At 41.2% G+C, this 21398-nt stretch overlaps 2 annotated features.

Moving 5' to 3' along the window:
* Positions 20061-20561: an enhancer, noted in NCBI's record as "H3K4me1 hESC enhancer chr11:123573039-123573539 (GRCh37/hg19 assembly coordinates)". NCBI's record gives its function as "activates a minimal SCP1, AML or CMV promoter by ChIP-STARR-seq in naive H9 embryonic stem cells {active_cell/tissue: H9 hESC(naive)}" and the evidence as "EXISTENCE:reporter gene assay evidence [ECO:0000049][PMID:30033119]".
* Positions 20562-21062: an enhancer, noted in NCBI's record as "H3K4me1 hESC enhancer chr11:123572538-123573038 (GRCh37/hg19 assembly coordinates)". NCBI's record gives its function as "activates a minimal SCP1, AML or CMV promoter by ChIP-STARR-seq in naive H9 embryonic stem cells {active_cell/tissue: H9 hESC(naive)}" and the evidence as "EXISTENCE:reporter gene assay evidence [ECO:0000049][PMID:30033119]".

The following is a 21398-nucleotide window of genomic DNA, read 5'->3' as shown; positions in this document are numbered from 1 at the left end:
TGTTTTGAGATGGAGTCTCGCTCTGTCGCCCAGGCTGGAGTGCAGTGGCGTGATCTCGGCTCACTGCAAGCTCCGCCTCCCGGGTTCACGCCATTCTCCTGCCTCAGCCTCCCCAGGAAGCTGGGACTACAGGCACCCACCACCACGCCCGGCTGATTTTCTGTAATTTTGGTAGAGACGGGGTTTCACCATGTTAGCCAGGATGGTCTCGATCTCCTGACCTTGTGATCCGCCTGCCTTGGCCTCCCAAAGTGCTGGGATTGCAAGCGTGAGCCACCGCACCTGGCCCCACACCAGTATTTTTAAAAATAGTTTGTTTTACCTCTAGCGTCTTCCCTCAGCTGACCTAAATAGTCCAGCCACAATAGCTGAGAGAAATATACCTACAATTATTTCCATCTCCTTATATTTCTAGTGATGTTGGCTGACTAACCCACTAATCTAGTTTATGGGAGAGGGAAAGACTGAAAGAGCCACAAAGTGGATGGCCAACCCACGTGATTACTAACCTTTATTGTGGCAAAGTAACTGATACAATGTTTCAAATGTAAGCACATCTCCTTGGAATAAGTGGAATAACTTAATTCATCCTTGCGGAAGTCCTGAGGATCAAGCAAGGAGGAGCCCAGCTTTCTTTAGACACCACCTTTTTTATCTTTAATAACAAAAAGGAACAAAGTGATTGTCAGACCAGCACAAAGATACCTCTTAATGTGCAATTTCTATTCTCTTTAGTGTGTGTGAGTGCACGCATGCACGTGTGTACACCGAGGTTTCAGGTAGAAGGAGGAATGCAATTCAAATTCTAAAAAAGGAATCAGTCAGCACAAACTAGTTTATTTGGCAATTCATAAAGATAGGGACTCTTCAGAGGAGGTTGAGAGCATTGTAGGGTTATGTAAAGACTTCCAGAAGCTGTAAAGACTTCCAGAAGCAAGAAGATTCAACCATCTAAAACGCCATGCAGGAAAATAGCCAAACCTTCTCCATTTAAGTAGAGAATAAATCTTAGTAGCGTTCTCTGCAGAATATAACAACGCTGCAAAAAGGCCATTTCACAGGAATATAATCAAAACTGCAGATTCTCAGGGTTTCCCGTAAGACGACTTCTCTGCTCTTCTGTTTGTGGTTTCTTTTTTAGTTGTACATCTCTCCTAGACAAGTCCAAGGAACTACTAACGAGAAGATTTCAGGAAGAGGCCTACAGCAATTGCTTGGTGCTTGGGTTCATTTGCGGAATCTTGGCAACAGGTCTACAGAGAAGCAGTTCCACGGCAAAAGAGCTGTGGGGCAGTTGAATAATCCATCCAAACAATGAGGAGTAAACCCTGAGTCAAGAAACCAGCAAAAAGCAGAAGACTGGGTCAGCAAATAAAGGGAGAAGATCCTTGCCTCCTTCAGTGCCCCTAGCATGATATTCTGAAAGGCCCTCCACTAAAATACAACTACAGTTTTAATAAATTACTAAAATAGAGAATAGAAGTAGTATGTAAGTTGGGATAGGGTGATCTGAATTAAGTGTTTTAACATTCATGAACTGTTCAGGACAAAAGCTGTAAGATATTGGTTAACCTCAACATTGTTAAATTAAGTGTGCACTGTAGTATCAAAGATACTCATAAGAATGGAGAGAGTAATTTTCTAAATAGTGGAGGGAAAATAGGAATTAATTTTTTTCAAAAGTGGGACTTAGGTTGTCTAAAGAAAGGCCAAAAAAAGCATAAAAAGATGAAAAAATAGAACTACGAAGAACACAGCCCAAATATATGAATAAAATAGAATAAATAGTAACTACCATTTAAGATAGAGATTGTCAGAATGGGTAAAAAAAAAAGTAAATTATAACAAAGTATATACAACAGATATACAAAAATAGTGATTTTTTTTTTTTTTTTTTTGAGATGGAATCTCACTCAGTCGCCCAGGCTGGAGTGCAATGGCATCATGTTGGCTCACTGCAACCTCCACCTCCTGGGTTCAGGTAATTCTCCTGCCCCAGCCTCCCAAGTAGGTGGGATTACAGGTGCCTGCCACCATGCCCGGCTAATTTTTTTTTTTTTTAGTAGAGACTGGGTTTCACTATATTGGTCAGGTTGGTCTTGAACTCCTGACCTCGTGATCCACTCACCTCGGCCTCCCAAAGTGCTGGGATTACAGGCATGAGCCACCGGGCCCGGCCAGGATAGGGAAAATTTTTAAAAAGTGAGGATATACCAGGAAAATACTGTACAAAGAAAGCTAAAGGAATTATTTTAATATTGAATAAAAAATGTTTTAAGCCAGAGCATTATGAGAAGGCCTCTACATAATTAAAAGTTTAATCTACCAGGAATATATAACATGTCTAAATTTCTATATGCTTCTGGCTTTGTAATAAAAATCAGTAGAATTACAGGAAAAATTGATAAATTCATCACTTCAGTGAGCAATTTAAATGCACCTCTCCTAGTTTTTGATAGATCAAGCAGATAAAAAAAGGATAAATATTTATACAATAAATTAAAAGAATATAGAAAGGAGATAATTGGAGAAAGTAATGATAAAATATATATAATATGTTTAACAAAGTAAGTAAGCTGGTTCTTTGAAAAGACTACAAAAACTTCTGGCAATATTGATGATGAAATGGAAATATAGAAATACACTAAGTAATAAGCTATGGAAATGGTAAATATGTTGATAAGTATAAATCAATAATGATTGTATAAAGTAAATATGTCTTATGAGATATATGTCAGCAATAACACATAAGATGAAGAGAGTGGATGGAGTTAAAACATTTGAAGGTTCTGGCATTATTGAAAAAGTGGAAAAGGGCTATTTTGTTTTTTAGACAGTAATAATAAAAAATATATGTTATGATTTCTAGAGTAACCACCAAAACAATAGTAAGCAAATGTATAACTGACGAGTTAATAGAGGGAAAATAATGTACTAAAAAATTATGCAAATGAAGCTAAGAGAAAAAGGAATATAAAACAAGTGAGTCAAATAGATAACAAATAGTAAAATGGTAACTAAAACTCAAATATATAAATAGTAACATTAAATGTAAATAGATTAAATACTTCAATTAAAGATCAAGTTAACATTTTATATGCACACAAATAGAGTCATGTGGCACACAACGTTTTCATCAGTGACAAACCACATATACAACAGTGGTCCTGTAGGATTGTAATGGAGCTGAAAAATTCCTACAGCCTACTGATGTCATAGCAATGCATTACTCATGTTCATGATGATGCTGCTGGAAACCTACTGTGCTGCTAGTCATGGAAAATTCTAGCACATATAATTATGTACAGTATATAATACTTGATAAGAAATGACTGTCATGGGCTTATGTACTTATATTTTCATTATTATTTTAGAGTGTACTCTTACTTATTTAAGAAATAAAACAGTTAACTAGAAGACAGCCTCAGGAAGATCCTTCAGGAAGGATTCCAGAAGAAGGCATTGTTATTATAGAAGATGACAGCTCCACTGGGGTTATTGCCCCTGAAAGATGTTCCAGTGGGACAAAATGTAGAGGTGGAAGACAGTGATACTGATGATCCTGACCCTGAGTAGGCCGAGGCTAAGCTATGTTTGTGTCTTGGTTTAAAACAAAGAAGTTTAAAAAGTAAAACAATAAAAATTGAAAAAATTGAAAAAAGCTTAAAGAATAAGGAAAAAAAATATTTTGGTACAGCTGTACAGTGTGTTTGTGTTTTAGCTAAGTGTTAGTATAAAAGAGTCAAAAAGTTAAAAAAGCTAAAAGTTTATAAAGCAAAAAAGTTACACCATGCTTAGGTTAATTTATTATTGAAGAAAGAAAAAATTTGTAAAAATTTCGTGTAGCCTAAGTATACAGTGTTGATGAAGTCTACAGTTGTGTACAGTAATGTCCTAGACCTTCACATTCACTCACCAGTCACTCACTGACTCACCTGGAGCAACTTCCAGTCCTGCAAGCTCCATTCATGGTAAGTGCCCTATACAGGTGGACCATTTTTTATCTTTCACATTGTATTTTTACTGTACCTTTTCTATGTTTAGATATGCTTAGATAGACAAATACTTACCAGTGTGTTACAATCACCTGCTGTATTCAGTACAGTAAAATGCTATAGAGGTTTGTAGCGTAGGAGCAATAGGCTATACCATATAGCCTAGGTGTGAAGTAGGCTATAGCATCTGTGTTTGTGTACATACACTCTATGATCACACAATGACGAAATCATCTAATGACACACTTCTCATAACATATCCCATTGTTAAGCGATGCATGACTGTGTAGGCACACACACACGAGACATACCTCAAAGAATACACACAAGAAGGCCAAACATAAAAGGCACTCCTTAAAATGAATTGTCCCTGGAGAATGGATGTAGCCAAGAGGCATTAAAGGAATAAGAAACATCATCTTTACCACAGTGCTGGAGGCAGAGAGAACACACTATGGTAAAACTGCCTGAGCCTAAGAAGAAGAACAAATCTGGGGGAAAGGAATGGAATTTTGTATGGGGAGAGTGCAGAACGAACAAGGAACCGCTGCTTTTGCTCAGTTTGTGATCCCTTCTGGTCAGTTACACTCAGTTCTGGAGTGTAGGCTGATTATTGCATGCTGGTTGCTTAATGTAGCTTATTGAGTCATCACAGGTATCTTTTTCTTACTTCACAGATTAAGAAACCAAGGCTCAAAGGAGAAAAGTAACATATTCAAGCCTCCCAGTCATTCACAGAATGAGTTCAAAGTCACAACTTTTTGACCCTAAAGCCAATTGTATTCACATTAGCAGACTGTTGAGAAGAGAACTGAGGAGAAGGGAGGCAGAATGCCAGAGTCAGAAGAAAGGGAGTAAAAGAAGGCTGATGGGGCCGGTGCCTGTAATCCCTGCACTTTGGGAGGCCGAGGCAGGTGGATTACCTGAGGTCAGGAGTTCAAGACTAGCCTGGCCAACATGATGAAACCCCATCTCTACTAAAAATACAAAAAATTAGCTGAGTGTGGTGGTGCATGTCTGTAATCCCAGCTACTCAGGATTCTCCTGCCGGAGAATCGCTTGAACCCCGGGGGTGGAGGTTGCAGTGAGCTGAGATCGCGCCACTGCACTCCAGCCTGGGCAACAAGAGCGAAACTCCGTCTCAAAAAAAAAAAAAAAGAAGCCTGTTGGTATTTGTATTATTCAAATACTGCTACACAATAACACAGAATGTTGGTGGTTTACAATAATAAGCATTTATTGGACGTATGCAGTTTGCAGATTAGCTAGAGTTTCAGAAACTGATCTTGGCTGGGTTGGACTGGGTGGCTTTGCTTCTCCCTGATGGTCTGTGGGTCAGCTGGGGTAGTTGTGCTCTACACATCTCCCATTCTCCTCCTGGGCTTAGTGAGGTGAGCCACATATGTTACTCTCATGGTGATCAAAAGGTAAAGAAAGAAAACCCAACCACCAAGTGCATGTCAAGCCTCATGCCTCCAGTCCACTAACATCCATTAGTAAAAGCAACGTGGCAGAGCCCAAAGTCAAAGCGTGAGAATTTTCACCAATTCCCTTAGTGGGAGGGACTGATGAATTATATGGCAAAGGGTTTGAGTATTAGGAGGGGTCAAGAATGGGAGTCAAAAATTCACTCTACCAGTCCCCAAGCAGGATTCACAGTTCATTCTTTCAGCATTTTACATTCAGGTTGACTCGGAAGATGCTCGTTTTTATAAGTCTTCTAAGATTAGTCATCCTGTCTATACAAGAAACATAAAACATGTTTGTTTCTCCTTTCTCCTGCAAGCTGATAATAGAGAATAGGATCAAGCACTTTCTTAGCAATGATCAACTGGGTGATTACAATGTCCTATGTAACTTTATGGAAAAATCAAGAGCACCCTTGATTGCTTATAGATTTATTCCTCTGAAAGCGTTTCATTTATGCACTCATTCAACAAATAGCTTTTGAGTGTCTTCTGTGTACTGGGAACTATAATGGGCTTGAATGAACGAGAAGCTAGGGGATGAGGTGGAGGATGCAAAGATGAATAAATCACAACATGCACAGAGGGCTGTGGGGATCTGGGTGACAAGTGACATTATTATTCAATTTGGAAACATAGGAAAAAGAAAAATGCATAAAAGAAAGATATTGAGCTCAGTTTTGGTTATATAGAATGTAAGGCAATGCTAGAATATCCAGTAAGTAGAAGTAGCTCTGTTGTGAGAAAAAATCTGGAAAGAAGATACAGATTTGGGAGCAATATGCAGTATAGGTGACAGTTCAGAGAATGGGTGTGGAAGGGAACATTTTAAAGAAGGAAGTTGAATAGATTGAAAAGAAAATTGCTAGGGACAGAAAAACATTTAAGGAACCATTGACGGAGGCAGAGCGGTACCCACCAAAGAACATTGAAGAACAACAGAGAGTAAAGGGGAATCAGAGAGAAATGTTGAAAAAAGTCCAAGAATTTTTTTTAACAAAATGGAAAGGAGGAACTGGTTAGTGTTATCAAATGCCGTAAAACGGCCAAGTTAAATAAAAACCTGAAAGAGAGTATTTGATTAAATAATTCAATTATATAAAGTGAGACAAAACTTAAATGAGCAAGTAAAAGTAGAGAAATTGGGCATAGAGAATGCTTTTGTAAGAATCTTGGGAAGGGCCAGGCGTGGTGGCTCACACCTGATATCCCAGCACTTTCAGGTGCCGAGGTGGGCGGATCACCTGAGGTCAGGAGGTTGAGACCAGCCTGGAAAATATGGTGAAGCCCCGTCTCTACTAAAAGTACAAAAATTAGCCGGGCCTGGTGGTGCACACCTGTAATCCCAGCTACTGGAGAGGCTGAGGCAGGAGAATCGCTTGAACTTGGGAGGCAGAGTTTGCAGTGAGCCGAGATCACACCATTGCACTCCAGCCTGGGTGACAGAGCGAGACTGTGTCTCAAAAAAAAAAAAAAAAAAAAAGCTTGGGAAGGAAAAGGAGTGTGGCAGGGCAGTTTGGGGAAATGCAGTGTCAAGAATGGATGGTTTTTCTCAGGCTAAGGGACACTTGAAGCTTTAGGGGAGTCAAACTAACATTTATTGAGCACCTGCTATTTTCCGGACACTGTGCTAGGAGGTGTATTTATACATATTGCCAAATTATATAAGCTGAGGAGAAGGAACAAGGGGAGACTGAAACACTGAAAAAGGCAGAGGAGATAATTGAGGAAGGAAATCTTTAAGAGGATACGATCAAAAGCACAGGTGAAGGGATTAGCATTGAAAAATATTTCATTCTGGGACAAAAGAAAAAGATGTTCAGGTGAACACAAAATGTGTTCAGCTCATAGAAGGGGGAAGGAAGGAAAATTAAGGCAATCTGTGACTGATGGTTTCTCTTTTTTTCTCCTGTGGTAAATGCTGTGGTCATCATCTGAAAATGAGGGATGTGGAATAAAGAAATGGGCTCAGGAAGAGAAGAGTTGGACTTAGGAATTGAGAGAAGGGGTTGGTTAATAATAACTAGGGAGGACTTCTGGGAGGATTTGAGGGTTCAACTAAAGTGTTATTAGGGAAGGTAGAATGGTCGGCTTTAACTGTGCAGCAAGCTTGAGATTGACTAGACACAACATCTGGCTCAATGGCCCTTCTCAAACCTCCTACAACCACTTTAACCCCTTGTGGCTTTGACTTAAGCTCTAATTTATTTTGTTAGGCTGGATTGTGTTAAGCTGATTAATAAAGTGAACTGACAACACCCTCACATCCCCTTAGATATTCATGTTTATTTCCTGGTAGGTTTTTGTTTTGTGTTTCTTGTTTTTGAAGAGTGGGTTGGGAGTTTCAACTAGTCAACTTTTTTATTTTTTGAGAGGACATGGTGGAGGAGTAATCATTTTCTGTGATCAGAACTATCATAAAGAGTACAGCGAAAGTTCAATCTAAATAAAAATACTGCTCCATCCATTATTCTCATATGAGAAGACTGTTACATGAACAGGGAAAATGATTGCACGTAATTGCTAAGCATAGGAAGCTTTGTTGCTAAACTGACCAACAAAAAGTTACAAATAATTATTGCTCTATATAAATACTTACTGCAGTGAATTTTCTTAATAAAAATCTGCCTGTAGTTTAATAGGGGGCATACCAACTAGAAGGCCCCAGAGTCAAGGAATTGTAGACTGTTAAGAGAGGCAAAAATGTATAGAGCACACCTAATGCAATCATTCAGAACATACAGTTCCTGTACTGAGGGATGAGTTTCTTCGTTTTTCTTTCATGCATCCAGAAAGTATGTAATAAACACCTATTGTTGGAGGTGTTAGGGAAGTAGCAGTAAACAAAAGAGACAAATATCCCCACACTCATGGAGCTTATAGTATGGTGAGGAAAGACAGTCAACAAAATAAAGCATTATTTAAATTATATCACATATTAAAAGGAAAAAAAACTGCCAAGAAGAAAAATTAATCAAGGAAAGTGGAGAGGAAGTTCCACGGATGGGTGAGGGGATAATCCAGGAAGGCTTCACTGGGAAGGTGACATTTAAACAAAGATGTGAAAGAGTTGGAGGAGCAATTTAAACAGCTATTCATGAAAAAGCATTCCAGAGAGTGAATAGCTAGTGTAAAGTCCCTGAGACAGAAGTGTGCTTGGTGAGCCTAGAACCCGGAGAGAGAGGGGAGAGCAATAGGAGATGCTCTTAGAGGGGCAATGAGGAGCCAGATACATGGGCTTGGAACAATTGTGTCTTTGATTCTGATTAAGATGGGGAGCCACTAGAGGGTATTGTTCAAAGAACTCACATATCATCTCACAACTATAAATATGCTGATAGCTGAGAATAGATTCTTGGCAGTTCAGGAAGAGACCACTAAGACACCACTTGGCAGGCTAACACAGTAATCCAAGCGAAACACATGCACAGTCTGGATAAGGAGCAGAGCAGTGGAAATGATGAGAAAAGGTAGAGTTCAAATCATATAATTAAAATAGAATTAACAAGATTTGCTAGTAAATGTGAGATTTGTTGGGGGGTGGGGAAGATGAGTTAAAGAGAATTGTATGATTTTGGACTGAGTAAATGGGCAAAGGTGGACGCCATTGATTAAGATGGAAAGATAGTAGGTGGAATACATCTCTTTAGCATCATCGGGAGTGTAGTTTGGACATGGGATGTTTGAGATGTCTATTTGACATTCTAGTGGAGATGTTATGTAAATAGCTAGCTATAAGAGTCTGCGAGAAAACTGAAACTGGACCCCTTCCTTGCACCTTGTACAAAAATTAAGTCAAGTTGGATTAAAGACTTAAACATAAGACCTAACACCATAAAAACCCTAGAAGAAAACCTAGGCATTACCATTCAGGACATAGGCATGGGCAAAGACTTCATGACTAAAACACCAAAAGCAATGGCAACAAAAGCCAAAATTGACAAATGGGATCTAATTAAACTAAAGAGCTTCTGCACAGCAAAAGAAACTATCATCAGAGTGAACAGACAACCTACAGAATGGGAGAAAATTTTTGCAATCTATCCATCTGACAAAGGGCTAATATCCAGAATCTACAAGGAACATAAGCACATTTACAAGAAAAAAACAACCCCATCAAAAAGTGGGCGATGGATATGAACAGACACTTGTCAAAAGAAGACATTTTATGTGGTCAACAAACATATGAAAAACAGCTCATCATCACTGGTCATTAGAGAAATGCAAGTCAAAACCACAATGAGATACCATCTCACACCAGTTGGAATGGCGATCATTAAAAAGTCAGGAAAAAACAGATGCTGGAGAGGATGTGGAGAAATAGGAACACTTTTACACTGTTAGTGCAAGTGTAAACTAGTTCAACCATTGTGGAAGACAGGGCGGCGATTCCTCAAGAATCTAAAACCAGAAATACCATTTGACCCAGCCATCCCATTACTGGGTATATACCCAAAGCATTATAAATCATTCTGCTATAAAGAGACATGCACATGTATGTTTATTGCAGCACTATTCACGATAGCAAGGACTCGTAACCAACCCAAATGCCCATTAATGATAGACTGGATAAAGAAAGTGTGGCACATATACACCATGGAATACTATGCAGCCATAAAAAAGGATGAGTTCATGTCCTTTGCAGGGACATGGATGAAGCTTGTAACTATCATTCTCAGCAAACTAACAGGGACAGAAAACCAAACACTGCATATTCTCACTCATAAGTGGGAGTTGAACAGTGAGATCACATGGGCACAGGGAGGGGAAGATCAGACCCTGGGGCCTGTCAGGGGGTCGGGGGCAAGTGGAGGGAGGGCATTAGGAGAAATACCTAATGCAGATGACAGGTTGATGGGTGCAGCAAACCACTATGGCACGTGTATACCTATGTAACAAACCTGCACTTTCTGCACATGTATCCCAGAACTTAAAGTCTAATAAAAAAATTAAAAGAGTCTGAGAGTAGGATTATAATATCTGCCCATTCATTAAACATTCATTGTGTACTTACTAAGAGCTCTGCTTCCAGGGAATTCATGAACTGGTGGGAAAGACTGGTCTCTAATGTATGAGATGTGCTACAGTAGATATATTAGAGAGCATATAAAAGGGATGGTCAAGGCCAGGCACAGTGCCCCATGTCTGTAATCCCAACACTTTGGGAGGCTGAAACAGGTGGATTGCTTGAGCTCAGGAGTTCAAGACCAGCCTGGCCAAGATGGCAAAACCCTGTCTCTACCAAAAATACAAAAATTAGACAGGTGTGGTGTCACATGCCTGTAGTCCAAGCTACTGATGAGGCTGAGATGCAAGGATTTCTTGAACCTGGGAGGAGGTTGCGGTGAGCCAAGATCAGGCCACAGTGGCACTTCAGCCTCGGTGACAGAGTGAGAACTTGAAAAAAAAAAAAAAGAAACAAAAAAAGGAAGGAAGAAAGAAAGAAAGAGAAAGAAGAAAGAAAAAGAAAGAAAGAAGGAAAGAAAGAGAAAGAAAGAGAAGGAAGGAAGGAAGGAAAAAGAAAGAAAGAAAGAAGGAAAGAAAGAAAGAAAGAAAGAAAGAAAGAAAGAAAGAAAGAAAGAAAGAAGGAAGGAAAGAAAGAAAGAAAGAAAAAGATTGGTCAACTTTGCCTAAAGAGATGATTCAAGTAACAACAGAGGCAGAACAGGTAGTGGTTAAGAGCACAGGCTCTGGATTAATAAACCTACGGACCAGGATTTGAATCCTACCTTCATCACTTACTAGCTGTATGACCTTGGGCATGTGAGTTCATCTTACTTCATATCTCTAAGGCCTCTCATAAGTAAAACTGAGATATTAATAGATCTCTTAGAAGCCAACATTTTTTATTAATTGTAACCAAAACCTGAACTCAGCTGCCCTGGTTCTGGCAAAATAAGCCAAATCACCAAAGTCAGGACTTGCAGTTTAAAGAATTACCACTAGAGGTCGACTCCCAGTGCTGGAAGCTCGCTCAGTCCACAGGGACTCTAACTCTGCAAAACGGTGGAAATAGGGAAATGTCTGGAATTATAAATTTTTGAAAGCTTTTTACTGCTAACCAGTGAGGTTTTTGGACCCAAACTCCTCATAGGCAATTAAGCTGTGAGGCAATGTATACAACTTGCGGCACTCTGACATGAGCAATCTAAACAAGTAAGTAAAAGTGATCAGAATGCCTGAGGTGCTGAAAAACACAACACCATGCTCAATTTCTTGACCTTTTGTTGTTGTTGTTTTACTTGAGATGGAGTCTCGTTCCGTCATCTGGGCTGGAGTGCAGCGGTATGATCACGGCTCACTGCAACCTCCATGTCCTGGGTTCAAGCCATCCTCCCACCTTAACCTCCTGAATAGCTGGGACTACAGGCATGTGCCACCACACTTAGCTAATTTTTTGTATTATTTGTAGAGACAGGGTTTCATCATGTTGCCCAGGCTGGTCTCAAACTCATGGGCTCAAATGATCTGCCTGCCTTGGCCTCCCAAAGTGCTGGAATTACAGGCATGAGCCACCACGCCTGGCCAACCTGTCTTCTTATTACACCAAAATCCCATTCATCCTTTCTAGAAGTGAATATAAGTTGGAATGGGCAGGGGGAAGGGATTAGTGCCCTCACTAAAGCCAGTACCCCAGCATCTGTTCTTCTTCCTGAAAGTGACTGGCCACCATTGACCTAAATCAGAAACCTATGATTTGTCCCAGATTTTTCTTTTTCCCTTGCTCTTCATATCTATCAGTGATACTAATTCTAAACTAACCTTAACGAACTGCATCTGTGCCCCTCTCTCATCTCTCCTCCCTCACTTTCAGTGCATTGACTGAGGCTACACCATGTGAATTATTACCATGGCATGCTAACAGAATTATTGCTTCCAATGGTACCATGCCATAATTCATCCTTCATATGGTTGCCAATAAATTTTTAAAATATTTATTTGTATCTGCTACTTCTCAGGTTAAAAGCTTCCCAGCATGTTGAAGATGGAATGCAAACAGCTCTGCATGCATGCCCTTTGCTCATGCAGCTCCTATTGTCCATCCCCCACTCTTACCCACTCTTGCTGGATAATTCCTTTTTATTCTTAAGACTTCATCCAAGAAGCAAGCTCTCATATTTCCTTCATATACTTCTGTCATAGCCCTTTACATATGTTAATCATCTGTTACCTTTTCTCTTGGAAGGCAAACACTGTCTTTCATTGTTTTTTGCCAACATCTAGCAGAATTTTTGGTTTATATTAGGAAATAAATAAATGTTTGTTGCATTGTAATGTCAGAAGAAGTCTAGGAGAATGTGTAAAAGTCGGGTGATGGCTTGGTGCGGTGGCTCACGCCTGTAATCCCAGCACTTTGGGAGGCCGAGGCTGGCGGATCACAAGGTCAGGAGATCGAGACCATCCTGGCCAACATGGTGAAACCCCATCTTTACTAAAAATACAAAAATTAGTTGGGCGTGTTGGCACGTGCCTGTTAATCCCAGCTACTTGGGAGGCTGAGGCAGGAAAATCACTTGAACCAGGGAGGCGGAGGTTGCAGTGAGCCCAGATGGCACCACTGCACTCTGGCCTGGTGCCAGAGCAAGACCATCTCAAAAAAAAAAAAAAAAAAAAAACTTGGGTGATGAGGTCATAGACACTTTTTGTGAACTGCTGTGAAGAAATTCAAGAATACATCTGCTCACAAGAAGCATCAGAGGAGGCCAGGCGCAGTGGCTCACCCAAGTAATCCCAGCACTTTGGGAGGCCAAGGCGGGAGGATCGTTTGAGCCCAGGAGTTCCAGACCAGCCTGGACAACATAATGGGACCCCCGTCTCTACAAAATAATTTTTCAAATTAGCTGGATGTGGTGGCACACAGCTGTGGCTCCAGCTACTGAGGAGGCTGAGGTAGGAGGATTGCCTGAACCTGGGAGGCTGAGGTAGGAGGATTGCCTGAACCTGGGAGGCTGAGGTAGGAGGATTGCCTGAACCTGGGAGGCTGAGGTAGGAGGATTGCCTGAACCTGGGAGGCTGAGGTAGGAGGATTGCCTGAACCTGGGAGGCTGAGGTAGGAGGATTGCCTGAACCTGGGAGGCTGAGGTAGGAGGATTGCCTGAACCTGGGAGGCTGAGGTAGGAGGATTGCCTGAATCTGGGAGGCTGAGGTAGGAGGATTGCCTGAACCTGGGAGGCTGAGGCTGCAACGAGCTATGATAGTGTCACTGCACCCCAGCATGGGTGGTAGAGACCCTGTCTCAAAAAAAAAAAAAAAAAGTATAAGAGGAAAGGTGCAGTATCATATCTCCCAGTGCTTAAAATATTGCCAGCCTAAGACACCTACTACTGGCCTTTATCAGAAGCGTATTGCCACCCCAGCCTATGTCCTCCAACAGTGTGACAGTGACTGGGAGGTCACGCCCATGTGAGCTCTAGCCTGTAACCTGGACAGAGACTTTACCCATGGGCACTACAATGTTTCTAAACCTGATCAAGCCAGGCACGGTGGCTCACACCTATAATCCAAGCACTTTGAGAGGCTGCGGTGGGAGGATCGCTTGAGCTCAGGAGTTCCAGGCCAGTCTAGGCAACATGGTGGGGACCCCATATCTACAAAATAATGTTGTTTTAATTAGCTGGGCATGGTGGCACATGCCTGTAGTCCTAGCTACTGAGGAAGCTGAGGTAGGAGGATTGCTTGAGCCTGGGGTTGAGGCTGCAGTAAGTTGTGATCACACCACTGCACTCCAGCCTGGGTGACAGAGCAAGACCCCGTCTCAAAAAACAAACAAATAAACCTGATCAATCCATTGTTACCATTTGTCTTGGTGGTGGATTGAGGAGCAGTGAGTAGAGGGAAGAAAGAGTTGAGAAGAGCAGTGAAGTTCGCCACCTCCTCCCCACCTCAGTACACTTTATGGAAAAGTATTTTCAACTAGGGCCATCTTGTTCTATGTGTAACCCTAATAGAAGCTGGGGTCTCACATGGCCTACCGTCTACAGCAGCTTATACTCAAAGGAAAATATACCAAAGTTCCAAATCCTTGAAAAATTATATATATATTTTTACTATAGGTTTTCTTAGAGCAGTCACACTTTAGGACACACACGTTTGGGTTTATAGTACCTGTGACAATGCCTGGTACAGAATAAATGCTCAATAATATATGTTGAATGATGAATGAGTGAGTGAACGAATGAACGAACAAACACCTATTTTAAGGCATTTATTATAATACTCCAGGCTGATTTTTTTGTTTCTTCCTTACTAGCCTATGAGCACCTTATATCTCTTGAATAAACTTCAGGACTAGAATATAGTAAGTACTTATTGTTTCATCTATGAATACAGCACCCAACTCTTGAAAATGTAAACAATTACTAAAGAATTTAGTTTAGTGAATTGTTTAGTAATTGTTTAGTAAAGAATTTAGTCATTGTGGAACTTTTTCTGTTCCACAAGTTTGCACTTTAAATTGAGTTTTTAAAAATGAAAGTACATATAGAAAATATTTTTAAAATCAAGTATGCAGAGGCAATTTGCAATATATACATATTTTTTAAATCGTACATAAGAGAAAGCTCACATGGAAAACAATGAATTATCCAGCCAGCTGGCTTTGCATCCTCCACATCTCATTCCCTGCAGACACCAGATGGCGACATTTTGCCATGATCTGCTGAGTCCTAGACGTTTGACAATGTATTCAACGAATGTATAACATGAGTCTTACGTTAGGCACTAAGAATTCGTAAATGAGTGACGCACAGACCTTGCATATCAAAGGGCTTATCATCTATTTGGAGAGTAGATAGATATACGGATAACTTAAAAGCACAATTAGTATGATACAAAATAATAGCTAACATTTTTGAGGTGCAAGGGACCTGAATAGGCACTTCACAAGTGAGGATATCGAAATGGACAAAAAGCGCAGGAAAAAGTAATCAACATTTTTAGTCATCAGGAACATGCAAATTGAAAGCTCAATGAGATACTACCCTATTGCCACTAGAATGACTAAATGAAAAGAATTCAGAAAACCCAGTGATGGTGAAGCAGCTGAGCAACTGGAAACCTTTCACACTGCTGGGAGGAATGTAAACTGTTACAAGCACTTGCACTGCTTGTACTACCAAGAACTGCTTGGTAGGATCTACTAAAGTTAACCTTACAAATACTCTATGCCCTAGCAATTTCACTGCTGGGTGTATATCAACGGAAATGAGTGCTTACATAAACCAAAGACATGGGTAAGTAGCTCATAGAAAATTATTTTTTTAACAGCAAAAAAAGGAAGCAACTCAAATGTCCATAAATAGTACAGTATATAAATAAATTGTGGTATGCAATAAGTGGAATGTTATACAGCAATGAAGACCAAAATGTTATTGCTACTTGCAGCAACATGAATGAATCTCACTAAAAATATAATATTGATTGAGAGAAGCCAGACTCTAAAGATCACATAATGTATGATTATATTCATGTGAAGTGGCCAGGTGTGGTGGCTCACACCTGAAATGCCAGCACTTTGGGAGGCCAAGGTGGGCGGATCACTTAACATCAGGAGTTCAAGACCAGCCTGGCCAACGTGGCAAAACCCTGTCTACTAAAAATACAAAAATGAGCTGGGTATGGTGGCACAGGCCTATGGTCCCAGCTACTCAGGAGGCTGAGGCATGAGAATCACTTGAACTTGGGAGGTGGTGGTTGCAGTGAGCCAAGGTCGTACCACTGCACTCCAGCCTGGGTGACTGAGACTCTGTTTCAAAAATTAGATAGATAGATAGATAGATAGATAGATAGATAGATAGATAGATATGATAGATATAGATGATAGGTATAGATGATAGATAGATATAGATGATAGAGATAGATATAGATGATAGAGATAGATAGATAGATACACACATACATACATACATACATAGATGAAGTTTGAGAACAGGAAAAACTAATCTATGGTGATAAAGGTCAGAATATTGGTTACTTTGGTGGGAGTTGGATATTTACTGAAAGGGAGTAGAAGTGAGCCTTCTGTTGTGCTAGAAATGTTCTGTATCTTGTTCTAGGGGTTGTCACAGAGGTATATACAGATGTAAAGATCTATTGAGGTGTATACAATTTGGACACTTCACCACATATAAATTATTTCAACAAACAAGTAAATAAAAAGAAAGCAATAGCTTAACATCACTGAATATTTTTTAGAGGCAAGGCATTTTATCTACATATAAATTATCTCACTTAGTCATTACAATAACTCTGTGAGGGATGCTCAGTTACTAACTCCAGTTTACAAACTGGGAAGCTGATGTTTAGGGTGCTAAGTACCGTGTCCAGGTGTCCATCATATGCATACGGCCGAGGAAGAAGACAGGTCAGTGTGGTTCCAAAGCCCCAGCAATAGTCCATTATTCAGATGTTTTCCCATTTTCACAAGGCCCAGTGGGAGTGATGAATTCTGGCTTATGGGAAAGTTGATTAACAAGGACTTCAAAGAAGAAGATGATTCATTTATACCAAACAATAAACTGAAATGTTTTGTTTCCTTGCTTCCTACTAGAACTATAGAATCCTGGATTTGGAAGGGGATGTGGCAATTGTCTGGTCTATCCAATCTCTTCATTTTCTATGTGAAGGAATTAAAGCTTAGAGTGGTGACAACACTCATTTAATGTTAGCAAAGGCCAGGGCTAAGGTCAATTGGAAAACAGCTGATTTTAACCAGAGAGGTTACAAAATTTGAGGCCACTCAGAAGTAAGTGGCAGAGCCAGCAACTGAATTCAGGCCACTGTGTGGTAGAGTCCTGACTCCTAGCCCAGTGTCCCATCCACCACCCCAGCTTGCCTCTAAAATACACTGAAAAGTCAGTCAATTAGAAGGGATTGGCATGATCTTGGTCGACTGGGGTGGGAGAGGTGGGCATGTGGAGACAGGAAAAGATACATTCAACACACACCACAAGCCAACAGCTCAAGGGTAGCAGGGAAAGGAACAGAGGTCTAAGAAAAGCAAATTCAAAGGGAAGGGATTTTGGCAGCAAATATTAGGACCATGTCCTGGCCAAGATAGAGTAGGCTCTCTGCCTGTGTAGATGGCTCTAGGGAGTGGAGGGAGCACTGATTTTGAACCCATACTCACCCAGAATGAACTTCAAGAGGTCCCTTGACTTTAGTGAGCTTAGGAAATTCAACACAACAGTTATTTTAAAAATCAGAGAATATACTGCTGTTCGAATAGGATAAGTGGATATGAAAAAAGTAACTGAAAAGCAGTAATTTTAAGAAACTATCGGCCAGGCACAGTGGCCCACACCTGTAATCCCAGCACTTTGGGAGGCCGAGGCAGGAGGATTGCTTGAGCCCAGGAGTTTGAGACCAGCCTGGGTAACATGGCAAGACCTTGTCTCAAAATAAATAAATAAATTTAGATAAATAAATTATTTTTTTAAAAAAGCAAAAAAAATTACTTCTTATGAAAATTGTACCCTCAAATACATAAAAAGGCCTTAAACTCCAGGCTACAGGAACTCCAAGAAAGGATGGTGTCGGTGGGTTGGCAGGTGGGGATTCAGACAGGGAGACTAGTCTGCTTGCCCTGTTGAATCAGGCCAAATCCAAATGCAAACAAATCACACAAATAATTGGTTATTGCCAGCCAATGAAAGACAACTTTGAGTAGAAAGAAACCAGCACTGGAAAACCATCTAATTTCAGCCAAGGAATCATTTCAAGACTTGAATTTAGACTTGAAAGAAGAAAAGCACAGTTTCAGCAAAGCTCAATTAATGTATAAAAAATCCAACTTGGATTGAATTGTAGGCCTGTCTCAGCACTAAGGTAAGATGCTTATCTGGCCAAGGCGCCACAGCCCAGAGACAACAGCTTATGCCAGCTCCTCCCCCTCTTTCCACTCTTTCTACCAGCCCCTCCCTCTCCTCCAACAGAAGTTCCTGGTTTTTCCCACACCTTTTGTGATTCTTGTCCACTTCTCAATGTCCCATTTCATTTACGAGTGGCCTAATATACCGATGGCCTTTGTCTTGGTACAGGTGTCTTTGCTGAATCTTTTCCTGCATTGTATTCTTTTACTATGGCAGCTATGACAAATTTGGTGGCTTAAAACAGAAATTTATTATTTCTTAGTTCTAGGAACCAGAAGTCCAAAACCCATTTCACTGGGTTGGAATCCAGGTGTTGGCACGGCTGCCCTCATTCTAGGGCAAGCTTGTCCAAACTGTGGCCCTTGGGCCAAATGCAGCCCAGAACATCTTTGAATGCGGCCCAACACAAATTTGTAAACTTTCTTAAAACATAACGAGACTTTTCTGCGATTTTTTTTTAAGCACATCAGCTATCATTAATGTTAGTGTATTTTATGTGTGGCCCAAGACAATTCTTCTTCCAATGTGGCCCAGGGAAGCCAAAAGTTTGGACACCCCTGTTCTAGGGGCTCAAAGGGAGAAGCTGATCCTTGCCTCTTCCAGCTTCTGGTGGCTGCTGGTGTGGCATTCCCCGGCTGTGGCTGCATCGCTCCAAACCCTTCCTTCACCTTTACGTGGCATCCTGCTTCAGGTGTGTGTCATCTCCCTTTTGCCTCTCTTGTATAGAGACACTAAATGGCATCCTGGTCCCATCTGGATAATCCAGAATAATTCCAAAATATTTAATGAGATTTGTTACCATGTAAGGTAAAATTAACTCTTTTTTCAAATGTGACAAGTTCCAGGGGTTAGGACAGAATCTCTTTGGGTAGCCATTATTCAGCCTATTACAGTTTTCAGCCCTTAGAACCAAAAACCTGAGGGTCATCATTAACTGCTGTCTTTCTCACACAACCTACATCCAATCTATCAGCAAATGTTATTGGTTCTATCTTTGTAAAAATCCCGAATCCTGCTACTTCTGTCCACCTGGATCCATCATGAGCCTGAGCCACTCTCACTTTTGGCCTGGACTTTTGCAATGGCCTCCTAATGGATCTCCCTGCTCCTTCCCTGAGCTCCTTACAATCTCCATGGCCACGGAGATAATTTTAAACATAAATCTCATTGTGTCATTTCCCTTTTCAAAATGTTCCAACAGCTTCACATCATATTTAAAATAAAATCCCAGCCAGGCACGGTGGCTCATGTCTGTAATCCCAGAACTTTAGGAGGCTGAGGCAGGAGGATCCCCTGAATCCAGGAATTCAAGACCAGCCCAGGAAACATAGCAAGATCCCGCCTCTACACAAAGGACAAAATTAGCCAGGAGTGGTGGTATGCAGCTGTTGTCCCAGCTACTTGGGAGACTGAGGTGGGAGGTTTGCTTGAGTCCAGGAGAAAAGGCTTCAATGAGCCATAATCATGCCACTGCACTCAGCCTGGGTGACAGTGAGATTTTGTCTCAAAAATAAAAGAAAATCCCAAGCCCTTACATGGTCTGTGTTGCCTCTGCAACTCCATGTTACGTCTGCTTTGCTCCTTGTACTCCAGGTACACTGGCTTCCTACTGCTCATCAGAAGTGCCATGCCCCTTCTTATCTCAGGACCTAGCACTTTCTCCTCCCTCTTTGGGGCCACTCTCCCCCAGAGATTTCCACAGCTTGCTCCTTGACTACGTCTCAGTGTCTGTCATTTCCTCAGGGAGACCTCTCCTGACACCCAGCTTAAAACAGCATTTCTGTCACTCTCTGGCTCCATATAATCATTTTCTTTGAGACACTCAGCACTATCTCACATTATATCATGTATTTATTTGTCTGATTGCTTATCTCCAAATCCCCCCCGACCCTTCAATTAAAACATTAATTTCCTGGGAGCAGGGAACATGCCTCTTTTGTTCACCACTGGATCTCTAGTGCCTAGAACAGTGCCTGACACAGAAAAAGAACACGTTAAATAATTTTTGAATGAATACATGAATGGATGATTGAAAGATTTCAGGGGGTGGATGGCTGGAATGTGAAAGGAAACTCTTAAAAGGGACTGCCCTCCGCTTCCCCACCACAAACCCAAATCATTTTAGTGGTGATTCTTCCAAGCTTGAACAACCCTGCCTGCTGCAGCTGAACGTCAGCCAGAGGCAGCAACTGCAGCCGCCCCCATCTCAGCTTTCCGGCCACCTCCCAGGGGACGTGGGCAGGGAGGCCACGTGGCAGGAAAAGCGACCTAGGAGAGCAGTTAGTAAGGGACTGTGTTTGTGTTATGGCAGCTGCTGGCACATGAAAACTCTATGCGTTAAAAGAAGTACAACCTATTGGGATTCTCTGCAAGTTCTTAGCAGGAAAATCTGCATTCGTTGCCCCACTTGGAGCAGTAGTTGGAAAAGACTGGAGCCACAAGGCCAATGCCATTTGCACCCCTTCCAAGGGCCTCTGTGGCGCATGGGTCCAAACCTAGTGCCTTCTTTCCACTTCAGACACCATTCCCACCACCCCACCAGCCCCTAAAAAGAGCAGTATTTGCCAGTGGCCAATAGAAACCAACATAAAATAGAGAAGCCATGTCACATATTCATGAACAACCTAGATTTTAGAGGCAAGCCTCAATTAGAATTCCCAATGTGGATTGCTGGTGTGTGTACTTGGATGAGTCCTTATCCATAAAATCAAAATAATGTCTATCTCTTACGAATGTTATGAGGAGAGAATGTTCTAGCCCAGCACAGGACCAGCATGGTTATCTTTGGTTGGCCTTTATAAAAGAATGGAGGGCAGGGAGGGAAGCAGTAATGGTCAGCGTGCCAACATTCTGAGACTTGCTTGGCATGGCAGTAAAGCCATAGAACCACAGAATGATGGGGTTCAAAAACACTTGGGAGATTAAAAACAACAATCACCACAATAACAAAAAAAAACTTGCATTTTATTTATTAAAAAAAAAAAAAAAGTGCCTATAATCCCAGTACTTTGGGAGGCCGAGGCAGGCAGATCACCTGAGGTCAGGAGTTAGAGACCAGCCTGGCCAAC

This window comes from Homo sapiens, chromosome 11 (assembly GCF_000001405.40).
Source record: "Homo sapiens chromosome 11, GRCh38.p14 Primary Assembly".
Classification (NCBI taxonomy): Eukaryota; Metazoa; Chordata; class Mammalia; order Primates; family Hominidae; genus Homo; species Homo sapiens.
Note: the sequence above shows the minus strand (reverse complement) of the source record. Positions and strands in the feature narration are given on the sequence as shown.